A 16,427-nucleotide genomic window follows, 5' to 3' on the forward strand; every position below is an offset into this window, starting at 1 on the left:
ATCCAGCAGCACATCAAAAAGCTTATCCACCATGATCAAGTGGGCTTCATCCCTGGGATGCAAGGCTGGTTCAACATATGCAAATCGATAAACGTAATCCAGCATATAAACAGAAGCAAAGACAAAAACTACATTAATTTGTTAGGAGTTTTAGTAGGTCAGAAGTTGTGAGCTTACATGTGTATGCCCAAGGCACGAAATAATTCATGGCAGGCCAGATACTTATTTATTGGACATTTATATTTACTTTATTGTCCACTCTCTATATTTTGCTCCTTGTGGACTAGCACTCTCATATCTACCAAAAATGTTTATTTAGTGCCTACTAAGGCTGTATATATAAGTTAACTTATTTAATCTGTACAATAAAAATTCTGGGTGGATATAACAGAATTTTGTTCAATTATAGAGAACCCAAAGTAGCTTAAAGAAGGCAGAACTTTCTCACAGAAAAAAAAATATATGTATATATGAAGAAGGCAATTAAACATGCACAGAAGCTCTCTTATACCCAGAAATCTGGGATCATTGTATCTTTCTGCCTTACCATTCTAGTGTATAACTTCTATTTTTAAGATCACCTTCTGGTTTAGTATGGCTGCTGGAGTTCCAGCTATCATATTTATATTCCAGGCTGAAGGAGAGAAAGAATAAGGTAAAGGAGATAAACCTCTGAACTGAGTCAGAAACTTTTAAAGAACCGTTCCAGAAGTCAAAAAGACAAGTACTTAGGCTAACATTTCATAGACCAGAACTTAGTCCCAGGAAGACAGAGAAAAAAAAAAAAAAAAACTCTGAAGACAATGCCCTCATCTTAAAATGGAAAGTTCATAGCTAAGGAAAGGGAGAATGTTGATTAATAGGCAAATAACATAGGTGTGATCATGCTACAGATGCAGACATTAAGGCTCAGTGGTTAATTTATGCAATTATGAGATATTATGGCAAGTAATCTACCTAATTCCAAAGCCAACATGACTTTCACAATGTAACGCTGTCATCAGTGTTATCCTGCAGGGGGTTGCCATGTATAAATACTGAAAACCATTTGTGAAATGAGGTAGCAAATGAGCACCCTGAACCATCAGCATAATAAAATGGTAAAGAGCATGGACTCTAGCTCAGCCTTTCTCAACTTTGATGTACACATGATTACCCCGCTCATATAAAGGAAGATTACAATTCAGTAGAAATGGCATGGGCTCTGACAGCCTGCATTTCTTTGCTGCCTTCCATGGACCACACTTTGAGAAACAAAGGTCTAGACTTGCATTGTTTAACATGATATCCACTTATCACATGTGGCTACTGAATACTTGAAATGTGGCTGGTCTGAATTGAGATGCGCTATGCTGAAACTGCACAATACACACTGGATTTTGAAGGTTTAATATGAAAAACACTCAAAATATATCATTAACTTTTTATAGATTTTATATCGAAATTATAATGTTTTGCTTATATTGGGATGAACAAGATATACCATTAAAATTAAATTAATTTAACTTTTCACTTTTTAAATGTGGCTACTAGAAAAGGTAAAATTATATATGTGGCTCATGTTATATTTGTATTGAACAGTGCTGATCACATTGAGTGATGCTACTTATTTCAAATTCTGAATTCTGTGACCTACTAACAGGAAGACTATGATCAAGTTACTAAACATCACTAATTTCAGTTTTCTCTTGTAAACTGAGATTAATAATAGTGTTTGCTTCAGAGGTTTACTGTGATGATTAAATAAGAGAATCAAATAAGGCTGTTAACATACATTTACTCTTTGAAACTGAACTACATAGCATTAAAATTTCAACAAGGACCACTGAACAACAAAAAAAATCCTTTAATACTTCATATTTTAAAAATATGCCGAACATGATATTTAGGTACTTTAATAATCTTTGCCACCAATTACTTTAAAGTTTATTTGTCACACATATCACATAAACTACCAAGCTCATTGTACTTATTTTCTAAATTCAATAAAATTGATGACGTAGCCAGTGAGCACAAAGATATGAAGTTGTAATAAGTTATCAGTGCTGCACACAACTACAGCACCAATCTAGACTAATGATCAGTTGAGTCATGTCACCTTTGCTTGGACAGAACTACATTTTGCTATAAGTCGCCAAAACAATTTTTATACAAAAAAAAATGCAAAACCCTAATCTCTTCCAAGCTTTATGCTTTCACCACTCTACCTCTTCCCAGAATACACAGGTTCTAAGTGAATCCACCAGAAGTCAGTTTGTTGAGTGGGCAACATGCCTAAAGCCAATTAGTTGAAAGTCTAATTCACCAAATGACTGATTCATCAAATTTACTTATACCTTTCTACTACATAGTTGTGGCTCATGAATTTTTATTTTGCCCTAATTATAGCACTTTAAGGAATGTTTGGTTTGTTTCTGTGACAGTCCGCACTGTTCCAGCTGGAGCTATAGAACAAAGAAAAGAGGAGGCTGAGGAAAGAGAGAGCAGAGAAAGGGGAATTGAAAAATAGGTGAGCTGAGAAACGGATGAGCTTCAGGGTAGAAGAGACAGATACTACAGAGGGTATGAAAGATATAATTGTAAGACTATATTCTCAAACACAGAGCATTCTTTTGAATTTATTGTTTTTAGAATATATTATTAATCCTGCAAGTGGACAATTGTTACAGTTCTTGATATCCAAGAAAAATAGTGCAAAATGTAAATTCATTGAATATATGTGAAGAATTCTTATCAACACAATCGCATCATGCAAAATAGTATATTCATAGCATATTTATTGCATTTTTATATTCCATGATTATTCAGGTGAAATATCTTCTTAAGTCCCAACTCTCTTGTGTCTTTGCCTCTCATCCTGTCATTCTCCAGCTGCTAATAGCAGGAAGCAGTGGCAGACATATTGAAGATCCCTTAGCAGCTTGTCATGAAAGGGAAAGTAAAATGTTGTCCATCAAAAATAGTTTTTGAAAATGGGAGTTTGGTAAATTGACCAATAAACACATTTGCCTTCGGCAAGATAGTAACTCAGTTAATTGATATCTGGAAATTGGCCTGCTTCTGGATTTGCAAAAAGAGATAATAATGGATGAGTTAAGAGGAAAGCTAAAAAAAACTGGAGACAATGTTACATATTCTTCCATCTACTTTCATAAGGTAAAGGCTTAGGCAAACAATTTTCAGGTATATACCTTTTGTATTTTAAGTGTCCATGCCATTGTACAGGATCTAATACAGTGTCAACAAATATTTCACCCTCTATCATCTTGACCCCGGCTTTCTTTCTCATTCGCCCATCACTTAACCACACTACTCCTTCCTGCTTTTATGCACTCCTTAGTCTTTATACTTTTTTCCCTATGTGATTAATAAAAAATATAATTGCCATCATAAGTCTCCCAACTGTATCAGCACATAAGTGTGAAGAGATGTTCTTTCCTAAAAATTCATCAGAAAAAATAAGAAAACATATAATTCAACGACCAGCAAGACATGCCTAGACCCAGACTGAAGATCATATAACTAAAGCATGTGTCAGTGAGAAAGAGCACTGAGTGAACTGAAAGGAAATATTGATGATGCTGACCTTGGATCAAGGGTGCCCTTCCACTGTCTCCATCTGTGTGGTCCTGGAGGCAGGTCTAATTATCTTGTGCAGATGAAAGAATTAGGATGTCATAACCTGACTCATGGAAAATCTGCATACTAGATTTGATTGCTTCTGCTCTTCTATGTTTATACAACAAAGTTACTAAATGTAATTTGGCTAATATAATTTTTGTCTTATGTAAGTTATATAAGCCTCTTAACAATATGTCTCTTTCTACAAATTCTGTTTTATAATCATTCTCAGAACAACCACAGCTACCATTTTTACTTCATCTTGCCTCTATATGTGTTTGTGTATATATTAGACTATTTTGCCTTTAAACTATGTTATAAGGTAGATATCTTCATTTCTCATAATCAAATCTCAACCTGCAAATAATACACTTAGGATATCTCAGCTGAACTAAAACTTTGGACCAGCCTGTTTCACTCCAAAGCCTTTGGGGCTCAAGCTTCGCATGGTACAATCCTCTGAGTCTGAGTCACTGGTGAGTCACTTTTGGAAGTTGACAAGACCAGGTAGCTGAGCCAGATTCTGAATTATGAAAAATCCAGGCTTCATCAAACAGTCTTTCCTGGGCATAATAGAGCAATGTGTCATAATCACATCAACTGCATGTACCTTCTTGTGTTTCGTATCATTTTGAAAGACAAATTATCGTATAAGAATCATATCCATGTGCTTAATATTTTTGATATACATATATATATATAGAGAGAGAGAGAGAGAGAGAAGGAAAAAAAAGCCTGATATCACTTTTTATCCACAGGATACCTACTAACTTCTCAAAAAGCGACAGCAGTCTTACCTAAACATGAAAGATATGCTAATAAAGTGACCTAGACCCTGGAGAAAAAACGGGGGAGAGTCAGCAACTGATTTTGCCTGAGGGCAAGAGATTATGTCCTGCCCCCAAACAAAATAAATAAATAAAGCCAACCCAAAACTGACAAGCAGAAAAGCCAGAATGAAGACAAGGATTCTAAAGTAGACCGAAGTAAACATCAAGATGACAGTCAAATGCAAAAATAAAACAAAGCAAGACTAGAGTCAGACCAGAAATAGATGTAGGATTAAAACATGAGAACAATCTTAATTTTTTTTCAACTATAAAGGCTTCCTTTTTTTTCCCTAATATCATAAATCACCATCTCTCACAATTAGTGAATCATTAAGCCAATAGTTGAACCTCTTGGGTGGGAGATTAGGAAGCAAGGAAGACAGATAAAGGGCCGACTTCTTTCTCAGTGAAGAGAGAGAAGGCTTCACAATAGAAACCTTGATAGGTACATATGATAATTCTCAGAATATTTAGTTTATCAAAACATCCTGTTCTTTGGTAAAATAGGGCTTTCCTGACAGAAATATTCCTGACCTTGGGAAAGTATTTATGATTGTTATGTACAAAAGGATGTGTTTTTGTGTTTGCATCTGTGAAATGAGAGCAATGAATGATGCTAGGAAATTGTGGGAACACAATTCATTTGTGGGAGCGCTTCCGATATTTTAAACAGCTCAAGTTGGCATTAGAGGGTAACATGAGAATTTACCTTAAAACCACTTAAGTCTTAACAAAAGAAGAATAACAATTAATATAGGAAAAGGAATTTTTTTGGAACACAGGAAACTGAGTCAGAGAAAAATCCGGGCCTCAGCTTCCAGGTCCCAATTTTGGTATGAATGAGGTCATTAGGAAGCAAAGGCACTATGAATGGCAAACTTTCACTTGAAATAAAGGTAGTAATGGGATGGGGGAATGCAGCCCTGCATATTTCAACTAACAATCCACTGGTTCTTAACAACTTTAAAATAAAATAAAATAAAAATAAGCTAGCAAAATATTCAATAAACTAAGTCATGTAAGGGCATGGTCTTAAACTACAGTAGGATCAAAATAATCCTCCAAACATTCTTTGGGCAGGAAATGAAGAAACAAATGCATGAAAGCAGATATGATTTGGGGACTTACAAGATCAGATTTATAAGTGCATCACAAGATGTGAACCTTTCTGGATATGTACTGACTGTGACTCAATTCTATTTAATTGAAAATGGGAAGTTAAATTTTAATGTGCATTTGATAGTATAAACCACAAACCCTTGGCACAGAAAAATTCTTACCTGGTGCCGTAGGAGGGTGGTTAGGTCAGTAGAAAAAAAAAATGGCAATTTCTTTATAATGATTTTGTTTTATACTTAAGTTACCTGAAATATATTATTTCTGTATTGAGCCAATAGGTATTGAGCCAATTATCATTCATAATTATCATTCATTTTTTGGTAACTATAAGTGCTTTTGTTGTTGGTAGTATAAGAGGGCATTGGCCTCTTTGCTGTCTCATAACCAGGTTGCAATAAAAGTGAGTCTAAGACCAAATTCTGTCACTATGCAAACATTTGTTACCAAATAGGTATAATGAAAGCTTATAGCCTGGTGAGTAAACTTGAGAAGTGACAGCTCTATGTTCTCTTAAGTGCTCTGAGGGCACACACAGAAAAGGTCCACTCAGGGTAAATGCAACAATGTTTTCCTGGCAGGAGCCAGCCAACCTTCTAGTGGCAGTCAGACAATAAAGAGTCCCAGGAAGCTAAGGCTGTACATGCACCATTTTGGAATCTAAATCTAATGTTCCACTCCGAAGCCTACCATCTATGTTTATTAGATGCTTGTACTCTATTCATAAGGTGTAGAATAAAGCCAACTAATGCAAAATTATTTATACCATACCATCTCTTTTGAAGTTTTTAAAAATGGCATAAACTTTTAAAGTTACAAACAACCCAGGAAACAACCCAAACGTCCAACAACAAGAAAACAGAAAAATAAATATAATATATTGGCATAAAGGAATATCTCAGGAATAAAAAGAAATAAGTGGCCTGACCTGAGATCTACATCTGCAACAACATGGATGAATCACACACACATTATATTGAGCTTGAAAATCCAGAAAAAAAGAGTACTTACTGTTTGATTCTACCTATATGAAAGTTCAAGAATAGGCAGACTCATTTATGGAATAAAAATCAGAATAGTGGTCGACTATGGAGGTGGGGGCATAGACTGGAAAGACATTCAAGGGAACATTCTAGGGTGATGGTAATGCTCTATATCTTAACTGGGGTGTTACTCTTCAAATTATATATAATATATATATATATATATATACACACACACATATACACAACACATATACACATGTATGTGTATATATTTATATATCTTATTAGTACATACGCTAATCACACTCAACTCTTAAGAATATTGTATGCAATTACATCTTGTTTAAAAATTACTACCAAAATAACACATATCTACTCCCTAAAGTAAAGTCTCAAGATAGCTCAGAGGTTCCAGTGCTATTAAGAAAGAGAGTGTTCATTTGGTCCCTGGGAAATGATAGTAAAAGTTCCCATCCTTTTATAAGCAGTTCTAATGTGTCAGGCACTATGTTAGTTAATTGCTTTTCATAATTCACATCACTGAATTCTATCAACAACTCTATGAAGATTGAATTATCATTATTCTGATTTTATCACTGATGATGCTGATGCCAGAGAGATTGGTTGTTTTGTCCAGTATCACTGTCTAGTAGTTACAGTGTTGGTCATCAGGCCTGGTGTCTTTGTTGAACTCCAGAGTTTCCTTGCTTCAACCTCAGGCCAAGGCTGTTTACCCAGTAACATCATCAGAGCTCTTCATGACTTCTAAGATGGCGAAAGCAAGAAGAGGAAACTGTTAGAGAAAAATTACTAAAAAGTAAACCAAGAGATGAAGTAAAGGGCAGAGGTAGAAAAGAATGATATTGATTTCCTGGGACAGAGACTTATAAAATGTATTCTCTTCAATGAGGGCCCAGAAGTATTTAATTACTGTCAGCCTGAAACTACAATTATCAAACAAATTCTCTCTCCTGCTTCCCACATTATAATAAATAACCTATCTTGCCAATCTAGATTGCTAGAGATTTTTTTATTATCATTTAGAAGGAAGTCAATTCAGATAGGAGATAGGTTTCTATTCAGAAGGTCATAGATCACTTACAGCATATTCAGCTCAATGGGTCACCATTATTTTACCCTGATTAGTTGTAATTATAGTTTTACTCTGCCCAAGATGTTTCACAAAAAAAAAAAAAAAATCCCTAAAATCTTTGGTTAGTATTTTACTTCAGTTCATACAAATAAAATCAAGGGAGGTTCACTTTTTTTTTTTCAAAGTAGGTCAAATTTTTCCTGAAGAATAGAACACAGGAAAATTCCAAATAAAGAAATATCTTCACCATTTCCTTTACTTTGTCTCACTCCATATTTCCTGAATCAGCTTCATTGTGAATGACTCAGTAAGAAACTTAACAGGCAGGCATACTACTTAAACCAGCCCTGGCTTGTTCAGTATTGTGTAAGTTAATGGTAATTTTTAGGCATACAACTGGGCTCCAAACTTCTTTAAGGAAGAGATTATAACTAGGATGCTACAGTGGGAGCATACATTTGTAATGATTTTAAGAATATATTTTCAAAGGGTTTGAATTTTATGGTTAGGTTGGAATAGGGATTATTGCCATTCTCCATCTTTCTTTGCCTTCTCATCCACATTCCCTGTTTTGTATGCACAAATCAAGTACTTGCACACACACACACACACACACAGAGTGTCAAGTACTTGCGCGCGTGCGCGCACACACACACACACACACACACACACACACACACACAGAGTGTTCTGAAAAATTCAATATCCTTAGGGACAATTGGACAGTATTAGAAGATTTGGCTGTCCCCCTCCATGTGCAGTGTTAAGCCGACAGTTTATGCCTGCAGGTGGCTGCTTGCAAATGCAATTAGGCTCTGCACCCATTGGGAGGGCTCATTGCACTTAATTAGCTGGTCCAAGACTGTATTAATATTAGTAATTTTCCACCTGCAAGAAAAATGGACAGCTTAAGTCAGAGGAAATAAAATATAGGGCCAGGTGCATAGGCCATGGTAGCCAATGAATGCTATTTAGTAAAGAGAAGTATTGAAGCCTGAGCCCATTATGTTAAGATGTAGTTTGATTATCCTGGGTTTCTTAACAGGGATTTTTCTCAACAGGAAAAGAAAACCCATTTCCTGCTTGGAACTTTTGAAAAATACAGTGCTTAGTCTTTTCAAAGTAAGGTTTTGCAGTTTAGTGGAAGCAACATTGGCTTTGGAGTAGAACTGACCTATGTTCCTATTATGTCTTGACAATATTAGCCCATTGATAAATAGTGGAGTCAGGATCTGAACAAGGATTGCTGAATACTAGTTTCATGTTTTTTCCTCATAAATTCAGGATCCAGGACACAAAATGAAAGGATATTATAGGAAATTAAAAATTGAGGCCTTAGCGACATTCAATCTGAGATAACCTTCTAGAAAATGCAGCCTTAGAAAAGCAGGTTATGTTATTTTGAAATAACATCTTAGAAAATCTTGCTGGGATTGTGATGTACCTTAAAACATCATTCTTGGCATAACAGAAAGGGTGTTCATTAGGATTTGTAGATTGTTGAAACTGTATGTTTCTTTAGTTGGAAAATAAAACTTGAAATAAAAATCACTGGAATGTTAAAGTGATTTCTGATGTAAATCAGAAGAAAAAACAACAGAAGGCTTTGAAGGAAAGAGCTGGGGCACGAATTTTATTCTTATGGCATAGAAACAAGCTGGGGAAAAAGGGGCCCCAGTGATAAAGATCATGGAGAGGATGCGTGAGGACCAATTGACTCATTCTAGCACACAACCACATCCAGGAAACATGAATGTCCTAGATGACAAATGAGGAGTCATACTTGAACCAGAGCAAATTTCAGATCTGTCTATGTTAGAACAACAGCCATCTATTGCTCTGTTAAGGCACCACAGTGTAAAATGTCTAAGAGTTCAGTCTCCAGATTAAAATTGCCTGGCTTTGAATTCTTTTTCCACCACCTACTAGACAAATCTTTTGCAAGTCACCTGACCCCTTGAAGCCTCAAGTAGACTTAATTACAGTATCCCCCTTGCTTGGGAAGGTTAAATGGGAAAATCCCCACAAAGTGTTTGGTGAAGAGTAGTTGCTTAATATTTGTTTGCTCTGAGTATTAGATCATGGACATCAGATTATCCTGTGTTTTGATGTATAGCTTAACAGGCAAACACATTCCTAAGTGGTGTTCTAGCAATGTTCTTAAAAAAAAATGATCATGAAGAAATAACTATAAAAACAAAAACAAGAGCTCTTGGTCCAAACAATGCTGATATGGTTCCTTTAGACAAGCTTATTTATCTGTCTCCTTTCTACTTATCTTTCACGGCTCAACTCATCTCAGTATAACCTTGATAAAGCTTCTTTCAATTCTGTAATCAATTAATTAATTCCTTCTTTCTCTAAGCTCCCAAAACATATTATGTTTGGCCCTACTTTAAACAGTTAATTCTTTCTACTTGCATCTTTGGTTAATTGCATCACTCTCTCACCTGCTAACTTAGGAAATTCTTAAGGACTCATCTCTAATTCCAAATAGAATCTAATACTTTTAACATAGTAAATTAATTCTATAAATGCCTATTTAATTAACACTGAGAACATAAAATGTTTTTGTGGACAATAAGACACTAAACACACACATGTGCAGACAAACACACAACTGATTGTGGTTCACAAATATTGTCTCAAAAGTGAAAATGAACATATAATCTCACTTTACAATGCAATGTTTGGAGGGAAATGAAACAGTACATTATTATAATCAGTGAAAGATCAAGAGCTAGCCCAACCTTCTCCTCAACTAACTGCTCAGAAAAGACCAAGGAAGGAAAAAAGACCAATAGTCATGCATATAGAATTCTGTTATTAAGAGAAAATTCTGATAGCTTTTGTTGCCTTCTGTTAGAAATCGAAGGGAAGATAGGAATCCACCTGACAAAGACACTTGTAACACAGAGTTAATGACAAATTTTCTTGCAATTACAAATATATTTTTAAGGGCTCTTTTTTTCTTAAATAGGCTTTGTCAGAATCCAATGGACCTAGCTTAGGAACCCCCAAAACAAATAATTTCTGTGCAGAGATAATTTTGAGTTTTAGTTGCATTCAAGTGCTTAATAAAGTTTACGATAAAACCCTGAGCTCCTTAACTAATCCATATTGCATGCGGGGTGGAGGAGAGAACTGCCTATACAGGCAAGTCTTTCTTATACTGCTAGCAGTATAGGATCAAGGAAGCTGCACAAACAAGAAATTTGGGATTTAGGTCAAGATATTGGAAAAAACTTAAAATTATTTCTTTTCGTCTTTCTATCTGTATCTATCTGTTCGTATTTGTCTCTCTCTGTCTCTTTTTCATACACACACATACTCAAATGCCATATTTTAGTGCATAGAGTGATTCAAAATGCACTACCAATAATCACCAAAATATCCCCTTCTCTTGCAATAATCTAAGAATAATCTAGGAATCTAGATTATTTTTTTAAAGCCAGTATTTGGGTCCAGAAGATATTCTCTTTATAGTCTTGAGAAGCACAATAATCAATTCCTTTAAGAGAGAAAAATGTGTTTTTTTCCAAACATATTGCACGGAAAAGATAAGGCAGCTTCTCCCTAGGGAGATGGGAAGAACAAACAGTGTTGTCAACACAGGAAGGCTGCTGTAGAGGTGGACACATCCCCCTGCCACCCTGATTAGAGGAAGCCAGGAAGTAAGGGCGGTTTACTTGGAAACTACAATGAGAACCATGCTGCAGCCCCAAGTGGGGAAGGGGAGAAGCAACCTAATCCGGGGAAGGCTGTGATTCCAACATGGCATTTTCCTTCCATCCTCCACAGCATGTCTTTCTGAATCTGTGTCTGCAATGCCAGGGAAGAGCCATCAGGCCTGTGCTCCCCAAAACAGAGCTGAAGAGTGGACCTCAGGAACCTGGTAAAGATTTAGAATGAGAGAAAAAAACTATAGAACTATGAATTCAGACTGACTCTAGGGTAAAAAAAATGAGTTTGTATGGTAGATTTGCACTGTGCAAATTTAGCTAAGCAGGAGCTATGTTTCCCAGGATCCCTGTCTCTGCATAATTTCAGGTTAGCGTGGGCCACCAGAAACACACATGATGGGATTTGGAAGGCTGAAGTTAAGCGTCAATCACATTCCTTTAAAGCACTGAAGATCGGTGCAGGCAAAAGTGCAGAGCACAGGCACCACTGCAGCTCACCAAGTGATTTCTGCTCTCTGGCTCACATTATTGACATTGAGCAGAAGCCGGGCATGCAGCTTCATCAGCTCTCACCAGATTTGCTTCCTTCAGTTTCTCCAGCTCCTGGGTCAGTTACATGTTTAGCAACATGATGAAGCAAAGCAGTTTCTCTTGCAGGTCACTGGCATCATTGAATTTGGAGGCTTCAAGACAGAGGCTGAAAAACAGTTTGCCTCTGTGATTTCCAGCCTGTCCCCCTGAATTCCAATTTATCATTTCTCTCCAACATTTCATGTCTGTCTTTCCTTCTCGATGTCCTGCTCTGCTAACTTCAGTCTCCAATGCAAGACATAGAAGCAACAGCCACACATAAACTGTTTAGTCAGCTCCCATAATTGGGAAAAGTAAAATATTTGCAATAAACAATTGATTCTACATCACTTCCTGTGGTTCTGTTTCTCTGGGCAAACCCAACTTGATACCATCTGAATAGTAGAAGTGAACCCACCAATGTTCTTTGTGCTGGAATTGACCTGGTTGTTAACCTAACTGGATGATTTGATAGAGGCAAGATAGAACAATTGAGATTTCTGACAAAGTTGTCAGGGAAATATAATTGTAAAATTGAAGAATGGAACAGGAGCAGATGGCAATAAATACCCATGCTGAAGCAATGAAAATGACAGTTGGAAACCTTGAGAATTCTGAATTAAATGTTTGGAGGAAGGTATATTCATTTTATCTGTTTCAATCTATATATATTTATATATACATATATAAGTGTGTGTGTGTGTATGTGTGTGTTTGTGTGTAGTTAGAAGAACAATATGTTACCTAGCGGACATCTCCATGAGACTCACTTTTGCAAACAAATATGAATGGCAGGCTGCCAAAAGAATACTGAAATGTGAATCTTTAATCCAGGCTGATTTGATGAAAATAACATTGTTTCCTGTGACTGAGAAATAACAATGACTGGTTATTGTATTTTATATATTCTTTATGCTCTGTCTCATTTCCAAAAGTATTTGCGGCAGATTGCAAAATATGTACACTACAACAAAATAACTAGATGGTAAAAGTGGAGCAAGGGAAAAATATGGTTAGAAATATGAAACAGAGTAGGTGTGAAAGGAATTCAGAAAAATGTAGAAATTCAAAAGAATCTATTATACTAATTCCTATGCAGCCAAATATAATGGGCATCAGTAGTGTGAGGTTGTGACCGGAAAAGGTAATGCAGTATTAGATTAAATTAATCAAGATTGAATATCTTGAAAACAAAAATTGATAATTCAATTTTACTCTGCACTAATCAGGTCTTACCTATAATATTTTTTCAGTTTATGATTTTAGGACCAAACAGATTTAGATAATCAGCAGCATGTTCAGTCAAGTTTAAGAAAACAGTGAAAAGACTTGAAATCATGTCTTGGGGAGAATGGCTGAAGGAATTGAGAATGTTTAGCCTAAAAGAAGAAAGATATTGTGAGATAGGATAACTGTTTTCAATACTAAAGGACTTCTAAGTAGTATAGGGAAAAACTGAAATATATTACCTAGGGATAAATATAAATTCAAACAGCTGAAAATAGGGGAAAAAGTAAATGTAAGCCAAATATAATATTCATATCCATAAAATGTAAATGTGAAATAAAATGCTTTAAATGGTTTTGAGCAAAGGTCTTCAAGCAAGTAAGACTCCTTTTGAGGATGTTACAGAGAAGAATCAAACGCTGAATTGAGACTGGGAAAAGACGATGTCAATGGCTGTTTCTCATCTTTGTACATATCATAAAAGCCATTCCATGACTGGAAGTGCATTCTTTTTCCAGAAATCAGAGCCCACATCCTTACAGTTTGAGAAACAGAGCAGAGTCCTGAAATCTAAATACATTAATTCTTTGAATGCTTAGTTCATTTTCCTGGGGAACTGACAAAATAAAAGAGCCATACTTGAGACACACCTATTACTCTGGGACATTCTCCCTAATTCTCCTTGTTTGCTTCTCTCACATTTTGTAATCATTGCAGTGTATGATTCTCCTCCTGAGACTATAAGCTCAAAGTTGCCTGAACCACCTTCAGCCCACAGATAGATATGTTTAACTCCACATGGACTTTAAAGTTTTAAAATTAGTTTTCAACATTTAATAGTAAGAACAATTCACACAGTATTCCAGATTGAAAACTAACTGCTCTTGAAAAATAGAAAGAGCTGGGAATCCTGAACACACACTCTTGAATTGCAATATCATCAAGGGACCTGAATTTTGACTCCTCTCTTTAAATAAAACATGGGTTTCTAGTTTGTCACCACTTCTTAATGTCTCATGAATTCACATTAGCTAACTGGCTCTAGTTGAATTTGGAATCCCTGCCATGTATTTTGAGCAAGGTTACTTGTAGATATATATATTTTTTGGACTGGAATTTTTTAGTGAATATGTGTATGTGTTCTTAAGAGTGTCTCAGCTGGGTTCCCTGTGGAAGAGAGCCTGAGGCAAGGATTAAGTGTTGATATTTTATTTAGGAGGTACAAACCTAGGGCAACAAAAGCACAGAAAGAGGAAAATGAGACAGGAAATTATAGAAAGAAATTGCCAGAAGATGCAGAACATTGCTAGGCATAACACATCATTCAGCAGATGCAAACATTCAGGCAGGATGCCTCAAAAAAGTGTGTATGAGAAACTGTTACCATGGGAGTGAGGAAGGAAGAATTTGGCTCCTTCCCATCTCCTGTTTCATTGGTCCAAGTTTGCCCCATTAGAAGTTAACTTCTCTGTGCTTCTAAGTTGTATGATCCGGTCCTTTTGATTATGCCAGATTCCCTGGCCCAAAGTGCCTTTTTTGACTCTACTTTAAAAATGGGAGTAAAAGACAGAAATTCCAGGTGTCTGACTGGTAGGACTATTTGCACAGTGGCAGCCAAGAACAGTGCCAGTGAATGCTTGACCCCAGGTGGTAGAAATTACCATGGACACATCTAAATGGAATCAGTCAGCAAATGAAGTTCAGGGGTAGTTTTATTGAGGAAGTCCAAGGCAGGGGTCAGCCAGTCACAGCCCTCAGATCTGATCTAGCATGCCTCCTGTTTTTGTGTACCCCATGAGCTAAGAATAACTTTACACTTTTAAAGGGCCAAAAAAATCCAAAGAAGAATAATATTTTTTTTATTATGTTAAAGTCGGGCCTGGTTTTTTTTTTATTATTATACTTTAAGTTCTAGGGTACATGTGCACAACATGCAGGTTTGTTCATAGGTATACATGTGCCATGTTGGTTTGCTGCACCCATCAACTCGTCATTTACATTAGGTATTTAGAAGAATAATATTTTATGATACATACAAATTATATAAAATTCTAGTAAACCAGTGTCCATAAATAAAGTTTTATTGGAACACAGCCGTGCTCATTCATATATGTAGTGTCTGTGGCTGCTCTCAAGCCACAGAGCTGAGTAGCCCCAGAAGAGACCAGAGACCATATGGCCTGCAAAACATAGAATATTTAGGAGCAAGTCTTTTACAGAAAAAGCTTGCCAACCTTTGGCCTAAGGAATCCTAATAAGTGTATCTGAATCAAGAAGCAAAATGAAACATTCTCAGCAAAAATACAACAGGACTATATCACTTGAGAATTATGTTAAAAGCTGTAATTTTCACATGCCTACACATGCCTGCATAACTGTAAATGTGATCACACTCACAGGTTTATCCCTCTGAAGAGCCTTCCATGGTTACAGTTCCATGATCTATTTATAGAATCACCTACAAAAAGGCAAAATCACTTTTATGGCTTTAATCCCAATAGCAATAGTGCAACTCTATTCCCAGATGAAAATAATCTCAGAGCACTATTCTTGTATACAACAGGGCAAGAAAGAGAGTTAATATTATTGGTTTATTAAATATCAAATTCAAGTCATAAGTTTTGAATTTTAAAAACCTACTTGGGGAAAAATACACACACACAGAGAAACCACAGCCCTGAGCCTCTTCCTGACATGTGCATTAGCAGGTATACCACTTCCTGTGGTTATCATTTGAGGTGAGTTAAAGGTCCACAGTGTACCAGCTCTGTGCAAGATGAAGGATGCAGAGCCATGCTCATAATAGGCCCAGTTTTGTTGACAGCTAGAACCAGGAGGCAGTCCCTGTGACTGACTATATTAAGAACTCTGTGCAAAGAAATTTAGAGGATCTCTTTTATTTTGGGATTAACTACGTTCTGTTTATTCATTCACTCCAAAAGCACCCACTGTGATCCTGTTATGTACTAGGCACTAGGTGAGATGCTAAAGATTCTTACACAAATAGGACACAGTTCCTGCCTTGGCACTCAGATATTATCAAGAAACACCCCAGCCCCCATTGCCTGGACACTGTAAACTATGTATTCCCTCCAAGAATAGTCCTCTCTGGGGACCAAACCTCCCAGTGGAAAAGCATCAAACTATTCTTGGCTTCACTTCCCAAGGCCAGCCTGACCTTTCACGGCAACTAGAGAGCATGAGTTGCCAGAGTCATGAAAGTCTCTCCCAGTCTATGTGCCCCTGAGCCAGGCTTGTGCAGGGGCTGTTTTCCTAAGAGGGAGCTCAGCCCAGGCTCCCA

At 36.4% G+C, this 16,427-nt stretch overlaps 1 long non-coding RNA gene across 1 annotated transcript in view, besides 3 other annotated features; it reads left to right on the forward strand.

Annotated features, from left to right (window-relative positions):
* Nucleotides 3,700-4,899: an enhancer, noted in NCBI's record as "CDK7 strongly-dependent group 2 enhancer chr3:30383595-30384794 (GRCh37/hg19 assembly coordinates)". NCBI's record gives its function as "activates an origin of replication core promoter dependent on BRD2, BRD4, P300/CBP, MED14 and CDK7 cofactors, with strong dependence on CDK7, by STARR-seq in HCT116 cells {active_cell/tissue: HCT116}" and the evidence as "EXISTENCE:reporter gene assay evidence [ECO:0000049][PMID:35650434]".
* Nucleotides 11,130-11,274: an enhancer, noted in NCBI's record as "145 bp enhancer 299 fragment used in the MPRA reporter construct; PK_construct_3200". NCBI's record gives its function as "activates an SV40 promoter by MPRA in HepG2 cells {active_cell/tissue: HepG2}" and the evidence as "EXISTENCE:reporter gene assay evidence [ECO:0000049][PMID:23512712]".
* Nucleotides 11,194-11,211: a transcriptional cis regulatory region, noted in NCBI's record as "GATA motif; enhancer activity is reduced when this motif is scrambled, but it is unclear which activator is functional in HepG2 cells". NCBI's record gives its function as "necessary for full MPRA enhancer 299 activity {active_cell/tissue: HepG2}" and the evidence as "EXISTENCE:site-directed mutagenesis evidence [ECO:0005528][PMID:23512712]".
* The window catches only part of LOC101927995 (uncharacterized), a 119,590-nt gene continuing 114,550 nt past the window's right edge, over nucleotides 11,388-16,427 (forward strand). The window contains exon 1 of the long non-coding RNA XR_427323.4: nucleotides 11,388-12,536. This is a non-coding gene — a long non-coding RNA (uncharacterized LOC101927995). The remainder of the gene's footprint in view (nucleotides 12,537-16,427) is intronic.

This window comes from Homo sapiens, chromosome 3, assembly GCF_000001405.40.
Source record: "Homo sapiens chromosome 3, GRCh38.p14 Primary Assembly".
Classification (NCBI taxonomy): Eukaryota; Metazoa; Chordata; class Mammalia; order Primates; family Hominidae; genus Homo; species Homo sapiens.